This window comes from Homo sapiens, chromosome X (genome assembly GCF_000001405.40).
Source record: "Homo sapiens chromosome X, GRCh38.p14 Primary Assembly".
NCBI classification, from domain to species: Eukaryota; Metazoa; Chordata; class Mammalia; order Primates; family Hominidae; genus Homo; species Homo sapiens.
In genome coordinates this window covers 141,803,906-141,823,153 of record NC_000023.11, presented here as the reverse complement: position 1 = coordinate 141,823,153, position 19,248 = coordinate 141,803,906, and positions in this window count along the sequence as shown.

The following is a 19,248-nucleotide window of genomic DNA, read 5'->3' as shown; positions in this document are numbered from 1 at the left end:
GGCTCCTACAGATGGGTGAGTGTCCAGTGTACCCCTCTCCAATATCAGGAGAACTAGGGAATAAAATAAAAGCCTTTGGCTAAGTGGTCAGTTAAAAGTCCCCCATTGTTTGAATGCCCTGAAGCACATCCTTGTCACTTCTTCCCCTAGTCCCTTCTCTTCTGACACCATTTTATTGTTTCACCAGTCATTTGATTTTCAGTGCTAAAATATATGTTTTGTTTGCAGTCTTATATTTGCTTCTGAATTTCTGTTAACTGTATTTGGGCAATTGTTTAAGGCAGGATGCTTGTTTGTGAGAGGTCCTCCATTGTGTTGACTCTGGGGTGCCAGAGTTACGTTGTTCTATGACCTCAGCTTGGTGTTGAGTTAAGTGTTGGCTTCTTCCTGGGTGTCCTGGGATTTTCAGCATTTGGTGAGGGGACCCTCGTTAGCTGAAACTTGGGTACTCCAGGTTTTCATCATTGGTATTATAGGTCGCCCCCACCCAATGCTCTGGTGTTTTCAGCATTAACATTCCTTCTACAATGTGAGTTATAGCCCCTTCTCCTAGGGGAATATTGGTCTCACTTTTTTTTTTGCCCTGAAGTTAGAAGTTATTATTTTCCTAATAGCCAGTTTCAAGCCCCTTCCTGTGTGCTGTCTTACAACTACCTTGCTCAAGCCCCTCTTGGTCAAAGAGACTGGAAGTTTCCAGATCCCTGGCTTGCTGGATGACCATCTACAGAGGTAGGCAAGTGGCTGGGCGAACATATTTTTATAAAGTGTCTCCACTGCTGAGGGGGATTCTCTGGAAAGTTAAGGCCTTTACGGTCTCTGCTTGGGCAACACTGTTTACCCCCTTCTCTTCCTCCCATCCACAGTCGCCATGTGTTTATCCCTCCTCTCTGCTTAATTCTCACTCTCTGTGGAATTTAGGCTCAACATTCTACTGCCCATTTGTAGCTAATAATTTGCTTTTGTAACACCTTGATACCTATATTTAAACTTTCCCTTCAGGAAGCGAAAGTCTAAAAAGGAAAAGCAATAAGGGGCAAGTTGCTTCCCCTCTTACTAGACTTAGAAAAACTTCTACATCTAGCAAAAATCCTTGTTAGTCATGGGACAATGACGAGCATCCCAGAGGACTGACCACTAGGATGTCTTTTCAGCTACCGGGGCAAATTCAAATTCAGCTTAAAGAAAAAGAAACACATTTTCTATTGCAACACTGTTAGGGTTAAATGCAAATTAGAAAACCAACAGATTTGGCCTAAACATGATTTTATACATTACAATTTGATTTATTCTGTAAAAAAGAAGAAAAGAAGAGGTCCCTTACGTATAGACTTTTCTGGTTCTTTACTGGCTCACATTACTTCCAAGCATCAGAAAGCCATACCTAAGGGATCCTCTCCTAGCTGTTCCCCCGAGAAGGCCTATGCCTTTCCCAGAGTCTTTTCAGTCCCACAAATCTGAGGGTATCCCACTAGTTCTCTAATGAAAGATTCTATCCCAAGGTTATCAGGCTCCCTTCCCCCTTATTTGACTAACCTCAGTCTATACCCCACCTTGACACAGGGCTTACCCAACCAGTACCACCAGGATTTGGGCCTTATATCAGCCTCTAAAGTCAAACTTATGCCCATTGTTTGAGGTAGTTGAAGGAAATGAGGAAATATTTAGAGTACATGTGCCATTTTCTATGTCTAATTTGAATTTATACAAGGAAAAATTTGGCCAGTTTTCAGAGAAATGTGTTAAATTGACCATATCCTTTGATTTAACTTATCATGATTTACAAATATTGTTGTCTGCTTGGTCTGCTGTGGGAAAAAAATGTGGAGGAAAAAGTATGTGGTTAAGCCCATCAATTATAACAAGGTTAGAGAAATAACTCAGGGAAAAGAGGAAAAGCCCACTTTTTCAGGGTCATTTAGTTGAGGAACTCATGAAATTTATTAATGAATACCCAGGCTCCCCAGAAGGGCAAGTTCTCCTGCATATACATTCTATTAGTAAATTTGTCCCTGACATTTGGAGGAAGCTACAAAAATCAGCAATGGGATCTCAAACTCTTCTGAGCCAACTCTTAAAAGTAGTCATTAAAGTTTACAACAATAGGGACACAAAAAAGGTGGTAAAAAAATAGCCAAAAACTGCAATTATTAGCAAATGCTTCAAGCCCCCATTCCCCTCTGGGTTACCCATTCAAAGAAAGTGTTGCAAGATTAGAGTCTGGGATGCCCAGACAAGAGGCCCCAACTTGTCACCCACTGGACCAGAATTACTGTGCCTACTATAAGCAAAAGGGCCACTAGCAATAAGAATGTCCTAACTGTCCCTGGTGAGAGAGAGAAAGAAGCTCCCCATCAATCCTAGAGATAACCTTTTCCCATGAGCCCCAAAGAGTTACCTTGCTCAAGTAATTTACTAGAAGTCTTGGACCCCTGACCTGACAGACAGCTTCCAACAGTGGCAGCCAAGTGTCCATGTGAACATTTTTCTTCAGTGTTTCCACTGCTGGGTGAGCTCTCCAGCAGCTTGGGGACTCTAGACTCTCCCCTTAAGCAACCCAGTTGGCCCATTCCCTTGCTTGTTTGTTGCTACGGGATCCCCTTCCCTGCCTCTTCCTATCTTCCATATCTATTGGGGCAAATAAAATTTGGTCAGGTAAATGGGTCCCAATTTTGTAAATTATATCAATCAAGTTATCTTATGTAGGTTGTTTTATTTAATGTGTTTGTTTAAGTGTATATACAGGTATTTGATGGGTGTTGTGTCTAGCATGAGATCAAATTGGATTATAAATAAAAGAGCAATCATAAATTAAATAAGACTAGTCTAAGCTTATTAGTTTGAAGAGAATGTTGTGTCTTCTAAAATTCAACTTTAAGATTTGTACCTAGGTAAATCACTGATGTTCATAGGCTTTAAAATGATTAAGATGGCTTTAAATGATGACTAGCTTTGCATGATATCTTGGTTCTTTGAGGTGGTTTAGACAAAACTGTTGAAAGTAAAAAAGTTAAATACATGTGACTGGAATAAGTGCTTAAATAGTGAGCTTTGTGTGTGGTTTAAAATCTTAAAATAGTGAAATTGTTCTCATCTAAAAATATGCAAATATCTGGTGGGCACTTTGGGATTTCTTGCTTCCCAGGTTTATATAAAATGTGCCAAATAAATGTATTCTTTATTGGAAAAAATATGTTTTTGTCTAATTCAGAAGTTATTAAAAGGGAGGTTCAAAATATGAGGGAACTAATGAGTAGAAAAAAAATTGCAAAAAATAATAAATTTTCTATCCATAACATTCTTTACATTTCTCTTATTTCTTTTTCAAGGAAGTATATTAAAAAACAATGCTGTATGAGGAGGGATACTGTGTAGTAAATTTTTGTCCTAGAGTAAAATAACCGGTTATTTAAGAAAGAGGTAGTATAGAAGTCAGAAATTTCAAGCACATTGTAAATGATCTGTGTAAGTTGTGTTAAGGCTCATAAAGGGGAATCTCTAAAAGCATTTTTGTGTGACTAATTTAGATATAATTAAAAGGAAATTGTTAATAACAGACTGTAAAAAGAATAGTCTAAATGTTAAAATCAAATTTTCTTAAGGTGTTAATTTGCTACATTACCAGAATTTTTGCTTTTCAATTCTGTAATCTACTTCTTTTAAAAACTTCTCAGATTCATATAACTCTCCTCTTTAGCTTTATTTTATCAGCTCCTGTGAGTTTTTGCATTTTGAAGCCTCCTATGAACAAACTGAGCTTTGCCATATGTCTAGACCTTGAACTTAAATTAGACTTTGGAGAGATGTATAAGGTGTCTGAGAGGCAGTGACTGTATTTTATTTAGTTTTTTTTCCCTGCGGGGCTGTCATATCATTTTCTCAAGTCCTTCAGTAGATACTAATTTGGTCAATTTAATCTTGGAAAACCTTCATATAGGAAAAGTGAATCCAAAATATTGTCTGGTGTGTAGAAAGTAATTCAAAGACTATTTGCAAATTTTTTCTGCTTTTGAAATAATTTGGACTGCCATGATGTTAAACTGACAGCAGATTTTTTTGGCTACTCTCGTAGTTCATTGGAAACAATTTCAAACAACATTAACCAATGACAGTTCAAAATAGGCAAAGAAACAGAGTAGGAAAAATTTGTTTATGACTAGGTTAGATCAAGAATATCTCATAAAAAGATTACCAGCAAATGAAAGCTATTTGAAAAAATTGATCTCTTGTTGGTGGATGGTTTCTACTCTTGTCTTCTTAGGGGGTGGCTGAATGAACGGTATGCTTTAATTGAACACCTATTCATCAATTTTTTTCCTTACTACACAGTTGCCACTAGTTCTACATAAAATAGTAATAGGGTACAGAGAAGACAGGAAAAGTGGCTTCATTCGACTTTTTTTTTTAATTCAGAAAAACAGCCTTATAGGCACTTTCTCTTCCAATTTGCATCTCCATTTTTATTTTGTAAATCTCATTTCAATCTATCTATATAAGATTTCCCCTTTTGAACACTATTTTCATTATCATTATTAGCACTACAAAATTTCCCAGATAAAATGACAATTCAGTAGTAGTAAGGACTATGATCCACTATTTACAATCAAGTTTCTTCTTAGACAAAAAAATTGTATATCAGTACCAGAAGTTAAGTAAAAAAGTGTTTTTACCAAGCCTTGAGTACTATATTCTGTGTAAAATTTTTTATTAGGATTCAATATCTAAAGAACTCACTTTTTAAATAATACATGCTAGATGAACAGTTATAGGTTTGATTTTTAAATGATTGGCATCCAGTTACACGTAATAGTAAGCCTGGCTATCATTTAATGAGTGTTATACTACATGTCAGCACTGTGCTAAGAAGTTTACAGCCATCTCATTTAATGTTCATCTCAATCTTAAGAGACAGACATTTTTAATCTCAGTTTTATATATAAGAAAATCAGTGACCTGAGAGATTTAAGTCATTTGTTCAGAGTGACACAGCTGGCAAGTGACAGAGAAATGCTTTTCTGTCTCCAAGTCCATACTTTGGACTACTCTGATTCATGATGAGTAGTCATCCCAACAAATTCTCCAGGTACTTGGTATATAGGTGGTGGCAGGGGTAGAAACTGAAACAGAAATCAACTTTATAAGTCACATAGCAGCTTAAGTGGATACCCCACAGGAAATTTAAAACCCAATCTTATATATTCCTGACAACCAGACCTGTGTTACTTGCTCCTGGATTTATTGATGAGTGCCTTGGAGAAAAAAAGCATTTGCTTTTTTCTAAGATTGAATAAACGCAAATTTGTGTAGGATTATTTTAATTCTTCATCAGTACATACACATTTATATGAAAGATAGATAGGTAGATAGATAGATAGATAGATAGATAGATAGATAGATAGATTGATTCAGAGAAGTTGCCCCCTCTACCTCCTACATACATACTGCTTATTTATTATTAAAACAAAATGTGGGTATGATGTTGAATAATGATTGCTCAGGTGACACAACTGCTTCCTGGAGAGCTGTCACCTGAAAATATCAAAGGACATTACAGGCTTATGTACAAATGAGGAATGGCGTACAGAAGGCTGATCGTGCCTACCTTTCAAAGAATTTTATAACAATGAGAATAACCATTGCATTCCTCTGAATAGAGGCCACTATTGCCTTGAAATTCTCGTAAGTGAGGCATACAGGTATTTAGCTCTTTGCAGTAGGTTCTATTATTATCATCATTTTATAAGTGAGGAAAGCAATATATAGAAAGATTCAGACACAATCCCTCAAGTGTGCCCAGATCATAGTTGATTACTAGCTTAACAGAAATATGAACCCAGGCAGCCTGTCTTCAGAGCATTACTCTTTTCCCCCACTATGCTCTATTATGTCTTTGTGTATCTATGTTTTTCCCGTCTCATTTATTTTAAAAAAAGATAAACTGCAAATGTGGGATATCAAGGGAAATTCTTTTTTCTAAAACAAAGAGAGGATAAAGATGAAACACTTAAAAAGAAACATGCAAATAATGGAGTATATATCAAGGAAAAAGAAATAGGCTTTGGATGAACTGGGTTTCCTGTAATTTTTAACAGAGAAAACACAAGTTTGCCCTTGCGCTTGCTTTAAACCACTTGGAGCAAATTGAGATAGCAAAGTCCAAAACTGTGAATTACATTGTATGTATACCTTCTTGTCTTAAGTATGATAACCTTTCTTTCTGAATTAAAAGTTGAGACATGTTGTCTAACAAGTCCAAATATAAAATCAGCAAGAAAAAAATCTATGTGGATCTTGCAAAATCTAAGCTGTGTAATGCTGTTGCCTATGTGAATGAAAAAAATATATAGAGCAGAGTATGAGGGTTTGGACCATTCATCTAGATTTATAATTTTCTCTATTAAGTCATCTGAAAGCACTCTTCATCATAATGATGATGGAGATGATGAAATGTCAAAAACAGGAGAGAGTAAGGCAGATTTAGATTGGTTGATATGTTCCAAGGATGTACTATCTTAAATGCCAGTTTCCACAGGTGTGCTAACATCTGCTGATCTCTGTTGCTGAAAAATAGACAGCTGCGAGTACCAGACTAGGAGAACAGGAAGAGAAAGGGTCTGTATTGTCAAGCATCATGCTATGTTTTGTTCACGAATTAATTTCATTTAGTATTATGTGAGGAATGTCATCATCCCCATTTTCCAGATAAGAGAATTGAGGCTGTCAGTATATGTGAGATTCTGCTGTAACTAAGGAGGAGCTTCAGGATTGCGGCAAAAAAAAAAAAAAAAAAAAAAAACTGAGTGTCTTGGAAAACAACAAAATACCACTTCAGGTAGGTCCATCATATTTCTGGACTGAATGAGATCGCCTTCTTAAAAGTTTTCAAAAATCCCTGTATGTTTAGCTCCTATGGAAACTGCAATTAATCATATGATGTTTAATGCTCATTTTCCCCAATAGACTAGCTTATAACCTCTCTACAGGTGGGACCTTTCCTGTCTTATTTCTTCACCTCTAGCATTTATTACACTTCCTGGCACATAGCTGAAACTCAAATATTTGCTGAATCAATGAATGGAAAAAGTAGATCAAGTATTAGACCGGGAAGCAAAGTAGAATGTCGTATATAGACATTGCACAGTAACTTACGTTCTCAAAAGCTGGATTCATCGAGTCCATGTCAACTTCCAACACTATCACCAACACTCACCCAAACAACTGCAACCCCGGACACCACTATGTACTATTCACTCAGGCACTTGGACCAGAAAACTTCCAATCCTACTTGACTTCTGCCCTAAATCCCTTCATGAATTATTTGGCATATCATACAAGATCTACCTATCCTTCACTATCAAAATCCTGAGATGGAGTGGCACTGAAGAGATAGAAAAAACAGTCTTGAATTTCTAACACTACCCCTTACCTACCCCAGCAATAGTGGCATGGTGTATAGAATGTCTCTGGGAGCTGTGGGAGGAATGGCACAGCAATTGTGAGGTACTGAACTCAATTTGCTCTTGTTACAGTAAAAAGGAAAACCTGAACAAACTCAGCTGACACCCACCCATGGAGAGGGCATTTAAACGAGACCTAGCCAGAGTGAAGGCACTGATCCTAGTGGATGGAAACTGTGCTCCTGGAAACCTTGCCATCGAGGCCTAAACTGCTCTGAGTTTCTGGGTAAACTTGAAAGGCAGTCTGGGCCCTAAAGACCGCAACTCTTAGGTGAGTCCTAGTGCTAACTAGGCTCAGAGACAGTGGACTTGAGGAACATACAGCCTACTGATAAACCAGCTGGGGTGGCTAAAGGAGTGCTGGCATCACCATTCCCTTAACACCAAGCTGCAAAGCTTATGGCTACTAAAGTGACCCCTTCCTTCCACTTGACGAGGGGATAGGAAAGAGTGGGAGGGGCTTTGTCTTGCCTGTAGGATATCAGCTCAGCCACAGAACAAGGCATCAGTCAGTCAGTGTCGTGAGGCCCCCGTTCCAGGCCCTAGGTCCCAGACCACACTCCTAGACACTCCCAGGGCCAGAAGGGAACACACTGCCTTGAAAAGAATGACTGTCTTGGCAGCATTCCTTACCTGCTCACTGAAGAGCTCTTGGGCCCCAAATAACAAGCACCTATACCCAGATACTACATCGAGGGCTTTGGGTGAGCCTCTGAAGCTTGCTGGCTTCACGTGAGGTTCAACACATTCCCAGCTATGGTGGCTGTGGGGCAAAGCTCCTTCTGCTTGAGAAAAGCAAAAGGAAAAGTAAAGGGGACTTTGTCTTACACCTTAGGTACCAGCACAGCCAGAGTGAGGCAGAGCAACAAGCAGGCTCTTGGGGTCCCTAATTCCAGCACTTGTCTCTTGGATGGCATTTCTGGAGCTGCCTGGGCCAGAGAAAAACCCATTTCCCTGAAGAGTGAGTCCCAGACCAGGCATCCCTCACCACAAGCTAACATAAGAGCCCTTGGGCCTTAAGGGAACATAAGTAGTCTGGCAGTACTCCCCACGGCTTGTGTTGGCAGTGGCTAAGGACTGGGGCTCCTCTGCCTTTGGAAAGGGGAGGGAAGAGTGAGAAGGATTGCATCTCATGGTTTGAGTGCCAGCTCAGCTGCTGTACAATAAAACACCAGGTAGACTTAATGTTTTCAGATTCTATTCCCTGACTCCCACACAGCACCTCTGGACCTACCCAGGGCCTGGGGGAACTCACTCTCCAGAAGGGAAGAAAACAGGCCGGGCTAGCTTTGTCACCTGCTGATTGTAGAGGCCCAGGGCCTTGAGCAAACATAGGCAGTAGCCAGGAAGTGATAAAAGTAGGCCTTGGAAGAGGCCCAGTGCTATGCTGGTTGCAGGTCTCAACCAGGAGAATTGTAGCCACAGGGGTGCTTGTGTCACTCCACCTAAGCTGTAAGGGGCTCAGAACAGAGAGAGAGAGAGAAAAAAAAATACTGTGTATGTTTGAGAGAAAATAAGGGAAGAGAATCAGGGTCTCTGCCTGATAATCCAGAGAATTCTACTGGATGTTGTCCAAGACATTACAGTGGCACCTCCAGAAGTCTGCAAAAATCATAGCATTAATGGGCATGTGTGTCCTCTAAAGCAGATACAGCTTAGATCACGAAACCCAAGTCCTTTTAAATATCTGGAAGGCCTTCTCAAAAAGGGACAGCTACAAATAAGCCCAGCCAGTGAAGACTTTAATAAATACCTAACTCTTCAATGCCAAGACACTGAAGAACATCTACTAGCATCAACATCATCCAGAAAAACATGACCTCAAAAAAATGAACTAAATAAGGCATCAGGGAACAATCCTGGAGAAACAGACACATGCGAACTTTGAGACAGAAAATTCAAAATAGCTATGTTGAAGAAATTCAAATAAATTTGTGATAATGCACAGAAGGAATTTAGAATTATATCAGATAAATTTAGCAAAGAGATTGAAATAATTATAAAGAATCAAACAGAAATTACGGAGCTGAAAAAAATGCAACTGGCATACTGAAGGATATGTAAGGGTCTCTTACTAGCAGAATTTATCCAGCAGAAGAATGAATTAGTGAGCTTGAAGACAGGCTGTTTGAAAACACACAGTCAGAGGAGACGAAAGAAAAAAGAATAAAAAACAATGAAGCATGCCTACAGGATCTAGAAAATAGCCTCAAAAGGGCAAACCTAAGCATAACTGGCCTCAAGAGGAGGTAGAGAAAGAAATGGGGTAGAAAGTTTATTCAAAGGGATAATAACGGAGAATTTCTGAAAGCTAGAGAAAGATATCAATATCTAAGGACAAGAAGGTTATAGAACCCCAGGCATATTTAAACCAAAGAAGCCTACCTGAAGGCATTTAATGATCAAACTCCCAAAGATCAATGATAAATAAAGGATCCTAAAAGCAGCAAGAGAAAAGAAACAAATGACACAATGAAGCTCCAATATGTCTGGCAGCAGATTTTTCAGTGAAACCTTACAGGCCAGGAGAAAATGGCATGACTGAGGAAAGAAAAAAACTTTTATGCTAGAATAGGATATCCATTGGAAATACCCTTCAAACACGAGGGAGGATTAAACACTTTCCAAATAAAGAAAAACAGAGATTAAATCAACACCAGACCTGTCGTACAAGAAATACTAAAGGGAGTACATCAATCAGAAAAAGAAGGACATTAACGAGCAGTAAGTATCATGTGAAGTTACAAAACTCACTGGTAATAGTAAGTACAAAAACACATATTAAAACACTGTAATTCTGATGTGTAAACTACTATCGTAAGTAGAAAGACTAAATGAAGACCTAATAAAAAATAATAACTGTAACAACTTTTCAAACATTGTACAATAAGATATAAGAAGAAATAAGAAGTCACAAAGCGGGGGAAAGTTTTAGGATAACATGTGCAGGTTAGTTACATATGTATACATGCATAGAGTTTTTATTAGTTTTCTCTTTGCTAGTTTATTTATACAGTGTTAGGTTGCTATCAAGGTAAAATAGTGCATTATAAGATAGTATTTGCAAGCTTAATGGTAACCTCAAATAAAAAAAAATACCATCAGAGAAAACCACCTTCACTAAAAGAAGACAGGAAGGGAAGAAAGAAGGATGAGAAGACCACAAAACAACCAGAAAACAAATAACAAAATGCCAGAAATATGTCCTTACTTATTTCATATTGCATGCCTGTATCAAAACATCTCACATACCTCACAAATACGCACATCCACTCTGTGCCCACAAAAATTAAATATTGAAAACATAAGTAAAGAATAACAGAAATTAAATGTAAATGGACTAAACTCTAAAATCAAAAGATATAGAGTGGCTGAGTGGATTAAAAACAAGGCCCACCAGGTGCAGTGGCTCATGCCTGTAATCCCAGCACTTTGGGAGGCCGAGGCAGGCAGATCACGAAGTCAACAGATCAAGACCATCCTGGCCAACATAGTGAAACCCCGTCTCTACTAAAAATACAAAAATTAGCTGGGTGTGGTGGTGCACACCTGTAGTCCCAGCTACTAGGGAGGCTGAGGCAGGGGAATTGCTTGAATGCAGGAGGCAGAGGTTGCAGTGAGCTGAGATTGTGCCACTGCACTCCAGCCTGGTGACAGAGGAAGACTCCGTCAAAAAAAAAAAAAAAAAAAAAGCCCAATGATCTGTTTGTTGCCTACAAGAAACATGCTTCACCTATAAAGACACACATAGTCTGAAAATAAAGATTCAAAAAAGATATTTCATGCCACTGGAAAACAAAAAAGAACAAAAGTAGTTACACTTATATTAGACAAATTAAATTTCAAGACAAAAACTATAAGAAGAGACAAAAACGTCATTATATAATGACAAACTGGTCAATTTTAGCAAGAGGATATAACAATTTTAAATATATATGCATCCAACTTTGGAGCCCACAGATATATAAAGCAAATATTATTTATAAAGCAAATATTATTAGAGCTAAGGATAGAGATAGGCCCCAGTACAATAATAGCTGGAGATTTCAATACCTCACTTTCAGCACTGGACAGGTCTTCTAGACAGAAAATCAAGAAACATCAGGTTTAAGCTATACTATAGACAAATGAATCTAATAGCTATTTGCAGAACATTTCATTCAATGGCTGCAGAATACACATTTTCTTCCTCAGTGCATGGATTATCCTCAAGGATATACTATATGTTAAGTCACAGAGTAAATCCTAAGACATATAACAAAATTAAAATAATATCAAGCACCTTCTCTGACCACATGGAATAAAACTAGAAATTAATAACAAGAGAATTTTTGGAAACTATGCAGACACATGGAAATTAAACAATATGCTCCTGAATGACCACTGAGTGGATGAAAAAATAAAGAAGGAAATTGACAAATTTTTAGAAAAAAAATGATAATGGAAGCATAACATACCAAAACCTATGAGATACAGCAAAAGCAGTAATAAGAGGAAAGTTTATAGCTATAAGTTCCTACATCAAATGAGAGGAAAATCCTCAGATAAACAATCTAATGATGAATTATAAAGAACTAGCAAAACAAGAGCAAAACAAACCCAAAATTAGTAGAAGAAAATAATAAAGATCAGAGCAGAAATTAAAAAAAACAAAATTTAAAAAAATAATAGGATAAATGAAACACAAAAGTTGTTTTTTTGAGAAGGTACACAAACCTGACAAATCTTTAGTCACACTAAGAAAAAGAGAGAAGATATAAATAAAATCAGAAATGAAAAAGAAGACGTTGCAACAGCTGATACTGCACAAACTCAAAAGATAATTTGTTGCTACTATGAGCAACTATAGGCAAATAAACTGGAAAATCTAGAATAAATGGACAAATTTCTAGACACCTACAATATATCATGGTTGAACCAGGAAGAAATAAAAAACCTGAAATAATCAGTAAAATTCAAGAGATAGAAGCTGTAATAAAACATCTCCCAACAATGAAAAGCCCAGGACCTGATGGCTTGACTGCTTAATTCTACCAAACGCATAAAGAAGAAGTAATCAAAATCTTACTCAGTTCCAAAAAATAGAGTATAGATTGTTTGCAAACTCATTGTACAAAGCCACAGACAAAGATACATCAATCAAAGAAAACTATAGTCCAATGTCTCTGATCCATATTGATGCAAAAATCCTCAAAAAACAATACTCACATACCAAATTCAACAATATATTTAAAGTATCATTTATCATGACCCACTGGGGTTTATCCCTGGGAAGCAAGGATGCGTAACCATATGCAAATTAAGCAATGCGATGCATCATACCAACAGAATGAAAGATAGAAACTATATAATAATCTCAAATGATGCTGAAAAAGCATTTGATAAAATTCAACACATCTTCATGATAAAAAAAAACCCTCAAAACCTGAGGAAAGAAGGAACATACTTCAACATAATAAAAACCATGTATGGCAAACCCACAGCTAGTATCATATCAAACAGGGAAAAACAGAAAGCCTTTCCTCTAACACCTGGAAAACAAGGATGCCCACTTTCACCACTGTTAATCAACATAGCACTAGAAGTCCTAGTTAGAGCAATCAGACAAGAGAAATATATGAAGGACATTCAAATTAGAACGGATAAAGTCAAGTAATTCTTGTGTGTAGATGACATACTCTTATATTTGGAAAATCCAAAGACACCACCGAGGAAACCTATCAGAACAGATAAACAAATTCAATGAAGTTGCAGAACACAAGCTCAATATATAAAAATCAGTAGCATTTCTATATGCCAAGAGCAAGTATCTGAAAATGAAATTTAAAAGTAATTCAATTTACAGTGCCACAAATAAAATTAAATACCTAAGAATTAACTTAACCAACAAAGTAAAAAATCTCAATAATAAAAACTATAAAACACTGATGAAAAATTGCAGAAGACACCAAAAAATGTAAAAGTATTCCATGTTTATGGATTGGAAGAATCAATATTGTTAAAATGTCTACACCCAAAGCAATCTACAGATTCGATGCAATGCCTATCAAAATATCAATGATATTCTTCACAGAAATAGAAAAATAATCCTAAAATTTGCATGGAACAACAAAAGACCCAGAATAGCCAAAGCTATCCAAAGCAAAAAGAACATGACTGGATGAATCATATTACCTGACTTTAAATTATGCTACAGAGCTATAGTAACCACAACAGCCTGATACTAACATAAAAACAGACACATAGATTAATGAAACAGAATAAAGAACACAGAAACAAATCCACACACATATAATAAACTCATTTTTGACAAAGATGGCAAGAACATACACTGGAAAAAAAGACAGACTCGTCAATAAATAGTGCTGGGAAAACTGGACATGCTTATGCTGAAGAATGAAACTGGAGCCCTATTCTCACCATATTCAAAAATCAAATTAAAATGGATTAAGGGCTTTAATATAAGACCTCAAGCTATGAAACTACAACAAGACAACTTTGGGGAAAATCTCCAGGACAATGGTCTGGGCAAATATTTCTTGAGTAATGCAACACAGGCACAGGCAACCAAAGCAAAAATGGACATATGGGATCACATCAAGTTAAAAAGTTTCTGCACAGCAAAGGAACAATCAACAGAGTGAAGAGACAGCAGAATGGGAGAAAATATTTGCAAACTACCCATCTGACAAGGGTTTAATAATCAGAATATATAAGGAGGTTAAACAATTTTATAGGAAAAAATCTAATAATCCTGTCAAATCTAATAATCCTATTCAAATCCTACCAAATATTTGAATAGACATTTCTCAAAATAAGACATACACATGAAAAATAGGCATATGAAAAAGTGCTCAAAATCACTGATCATCAGAGAAATGGAAATCAAAACTACAATTAAACATTATCTTACCCCAGTTAAAATGACTTATATCCAAAAGACAGGCAATAACATGCTGGCGAGGATGTGGAGAAAAGGGAATCCTTGCACACTTTTGGCAGGAATGTAAATTAGTACAACTACTATGGAGAACCATTTGGAAGTTTCTCTAAAAATTACAAATTGTACTACTGTGTGATCCAGCAATCCCACTTCTGGGTATATACCTCCGAAAAAGAAATCAGTATATTGAAGAGATATCTGCACTCCCATGTTTGTTGAAGCACTGTTCACAATAGCTAAGATTTGGAAGCAACCTAAATATCCACCAACAGATGAATGGATAAAGAAAATGTAGTACATGTACACAATGGCGTGCTACTCAGCCATAACAAATAATGAGATCCAGTCATTTGCAAAGACATAGATGGAACTGGAGATTATTACGTTAATTGAAATAAGCCAGGCACAGAAAGACAAATATCGCATGTTCTCACTTATTTGTAGTAATCTAAAAATCAAAACAACTGAACTCAGTTGTTACCTAGTTACCCTAGGTAACAAGGTAACAGTGGAAATGGTTACCCTAGGCAGGGAAAAGTAGTGGGGAATTCAGGGGAGTGTAGGGATGGTTAATGCTTACCAAAAAAATAGGAATAATGAATAAGACCTTCTACTGACTACAAAATAGGGTGACTATAGTCGATAATAATTTAATTGTATATTTTAAAATAACTTAAATAATGTAATTGGATTGTTTGTAACTCAAAGGACAAATGCTTGAGGGGATGGACACCCCATTCTCCTTGATGTGCTTATTTCACGTTGCATGCCTGTATCAACACATCTCATGTACTCCATAAATATATATACTTACTACGTGCCCACAAAAATTATACTTTTTTAAAAGTTGCACAGGATAATCTTGTCTGGTTAAAGAATAATTGCGATTAATAGAAAGGTGGCTTCTCTACTACCTACACCAAAAAAAGACCAGAACAACATGACAAATGGAGCCCATGGAATTCCTACCTCTGCCTGGTACTATTCCCCGAGTCCACTTAGTTATGGACTGATGCTTGTGCTTCAGTTCATGAATCAAAAACAACATAGTCTAGCAGAATTCAGGTGCCCCATCAGCACCTGAGGATGAGCTCTAGAACGAACTTTAACATGTTGAGCCCCTTGTCACTCAGTCAAAAACAGTGAGAATTACTATTATATTAGGCACTCGTGAATCCGGAAGCGAAGTGTGTACATGCATATGTTTACTAGTCTGACCATTGAGCATGTGCTTCAGGACCTTCACCTGTGAGTGTTCTGCACAAATTTCCTATCCACTTGTATGGGGCTTATGTCACCTAACTTTTCCTTCAGGTATCTGCTGAATAGTCTCAGGTTATCACTGAGGCCTTCTTTGGCCAAGGCCTTGGCTCCAGTGCATTGTCTCCCTCCTTCCCCTGTTTTGTATCCATAGCCCTTATCATTACCTGATATATCATGTGTTTTACTTATTTGTTGTCTGTCTCCTCCTACTAGAATATAAGATCCATGATGGTGACCGGCTGTGTCTGTTTTTATTTTCCACTTATTTCTTTGCATGGCACAAAGTGGACACTCAATAAATATTTTAGAATTGGTGAATAATACAGCTGATTACATCATAAAGAATCAATTGGAGGAGAAATGAAAATAAGGAAAATAGGTAGAGAACCAACATGAAGTTTGAAGACATGAGAGTGAAGAGTTGCCATTGACTTTTCTGTGGATGAGGCAATTACTCTAGTACCCCGAGTGAATATATACACTCTGGGGACTAGTCAGATTTGGGTTTGACTTGAAGCTCTGTTTCACAGCTTAAATGATTAAATCTTTCAAAGTTTCAAAGGTTCAGATTCTTTAAGCTTTTCTTAATAGTTCTCTGCCACTTTTTGTTCTTTCCCATTTTTTCTAGAATTTGTGTTTCCTATGATTTTATCAGCTATATTATTCATTAATTTTAAAATATTTATTATCTACCCTGTTGTTTAGCATTATTTGGGAGATTAAATAAGTATATGTGTATGCACACACACACACACACACTCATATGCACACTTATATGCATATCATTTACATCACACATAGTAACTGTTGAATAATTGGTAGCTTTCACAATCATTATTATCATCCTTACAAAGATATCCAGGAATCAAATAGAAGAAAGGCGAACAATGGGCAGTTTGGATGAAAGTAAGCATAGGAAAGGCAGAGCACCTACCAAGGGAGAACTAGAAAGACACGAAAAGGCATGTAATAAATTACTTTTTTTTTTTTAGAGGAAGAATTTCCTTACATACAGTTATCACCATAAGCAACATTCAATAGGCACAATTTTAAAAACACACACACAAAGGATTCTGGCACACTTAACTGAAACATCATCAATGTATTGATATACATAATTTAGTTATTAGAAGCGATTGGTGATCTATAAACAGTTATATGTGATGACTACACCATTGTGAACAGTATCAAGTGCTATCATCTGACTTCCTCACAAACTATCCATTATAACTCTGGTCAGTATAAAATTTCCCCTTACTCTTGCTGGCTTTGTAATAATTATAACTGTCTTGACAAATTACTTACAGCATCATTCAAGTTCACGCACTTTCATCTGTTTCCTTCTATCTAGCAAAATTATGACACTAGAAGCAAATTACGACACTAGAAGCAAATTATTCTAATTGCTTCTTCAAGCCCAGATGACACATATTTTTCTGTACACTGAGTGATAACTTTATTCTCTTGTTTGCTTAGTCACCAAGGATTTTGACTTTTACTTTGTATAATGTAGACATTCAAGAAACAAAAGAATTAAAAGGATTTTAAAATGTGTAGAGTACATATATGTATACCTATCTAGCTAGCCAGCTAGCTAGCTATCAGTAAGGGGTAAATATTTATTTTTGAAAGTTCTTTCAGAATTAAGTGAGACCGATTGAATAAGCATACAGTTATCCCCCACACATCAAGTAATTTCCTCAGGCCAAATTAGAGCAGTTAATACGAGATTACCATAATTTCTCATGCAATGTGTTTTCAAGTTTACTGCTCATAGGTTTCTGAAAAATAGAGAAAAGCAGTGGGATAGTCAGGGCTAGTGAGAGAAGAGTCAGAATGTTTACTTACTGACATACTAAGTAACCTAAAAAGGAAAAGAATCAGAGGGAAGGTGGACTAGCTGGATTATTAGAATGATAAAGGCCAACTCTTAGATTTCACTATCTCATTAATCTGTCCATCCATCAATCCACCTATCCATCCAATACTAAATCACCTTCTATATACAAGGCAGTATAAGTGCTACAGTGACTCTTCATCCTTGTAAAGAAGAGCAAACGTCTACATAAATAGAATACAACAAAAAACATGAAAAGCTCATGAAAAAATTAGGCTACATCTCTGCATGTACAAAAGAGGGACAGTTTATAATAGATGCAATAGATTAAAGACAGTTTTATGAAAGATGTGGCATTTGAATTAAATCTTGAATGATGTTTAATATTTGTACTAGTAGATACTTAAGGAATGTTGGAAGGACTTCTAGGTAGAGAATACAGTGAAACCATTGATAGGAAAATATATGCAGAGAAGAGCATGCTCAGAGAAGAGGATGAATAAAAGCTTATAGCTGAAGGTAAGACTGAAAAAGTGAATTGGAGGGAAATATAGGAGTTCTCAAACATTAAAGACTTTGATCTTTACTCAAGAGTCCAGACCAATTATGGCCACTGCTCTTTTGAGAGGACTTGGCTTAATATATGCAGATAAAATATAAGCTGTATGAGGCTGGAGGATCACTTGAGCCCAGGAGTTTGAGGCCAGTATGGGCTATATAGTGGTACCCCATCTCAAAAATGTAACTTCACAACAAACTAACTTTCTGTTTCAATTTCTATGTAGCAAATTAACACAAACTTATTAGCTTAAAAGAACACAAATTTATTATCTCACGGTTCCTCTGGGTCAGGAGTCCAAAGATGGCTTAGTTGGGTATTATGCTCAGGGTCTCACTAAGGCTAGAATCAAGGTGTGCTCTGGGGCTGTAATCCTATTTGTGGCTTTGGATTCTCTTTGAAATTCACTCAGGTTTTGTCAGGATTCCGTGCTGGCAGGACTGAAGTCCCTGTGTTCTTGCTGGCTGGTGACTAGGGACCACTATCAGCTCCTAGAAGCCACCTATATATTTACCTCCATCTCCAAGCTTGAAATATAGATGTCTTTTATGTGGAATCCATCTACGGAGTCTCTGACTTCTATCTCTGACTTCTAGATCCAGATTTAAAGTCTCATCTGATTAAGCAAGGCCCACACATATTTTCTTTCTATCTTAAGGTCAACTGATTAGGGACCTTAATTACATCTGCAAAATCTCTTTATAACAACACCCAAGTTAGTGTTTAACTGAATAACTGGGAGAAGGCGCATATATACCAGGTGCCAGAAATCTTAGGGGCCGTCTTAGAATCCTGCCTACTGTAATACCCAGAGAAACCATTTACTTTCACTTGTTTTTACCTTGTTCAATATATCTTGCCAGTTTTTATATATCCATACACACATACACACATGCACACACAAACATATATACTTACGCACCTTAAAATTATTCACTATATTGCAATAAATTTTTATATTAATTTTTATATTCTTATATATAAGAATAACAATAATAGAAAATTGATGACATTATTCCACTTATAGTTTCTAACAGGTTTAAATTAGGTACAAACTATACTGAACATTTAGAATGACATTATTCACAACTGCTAGCCTATTTCAAATTCTCAAAGTGTCTTGTGCAGAGAAGTTTAGAGAAAAAAGAATAAAAAGAAATGAACAAAGCCTCCAAGAAATATGGGACTATGT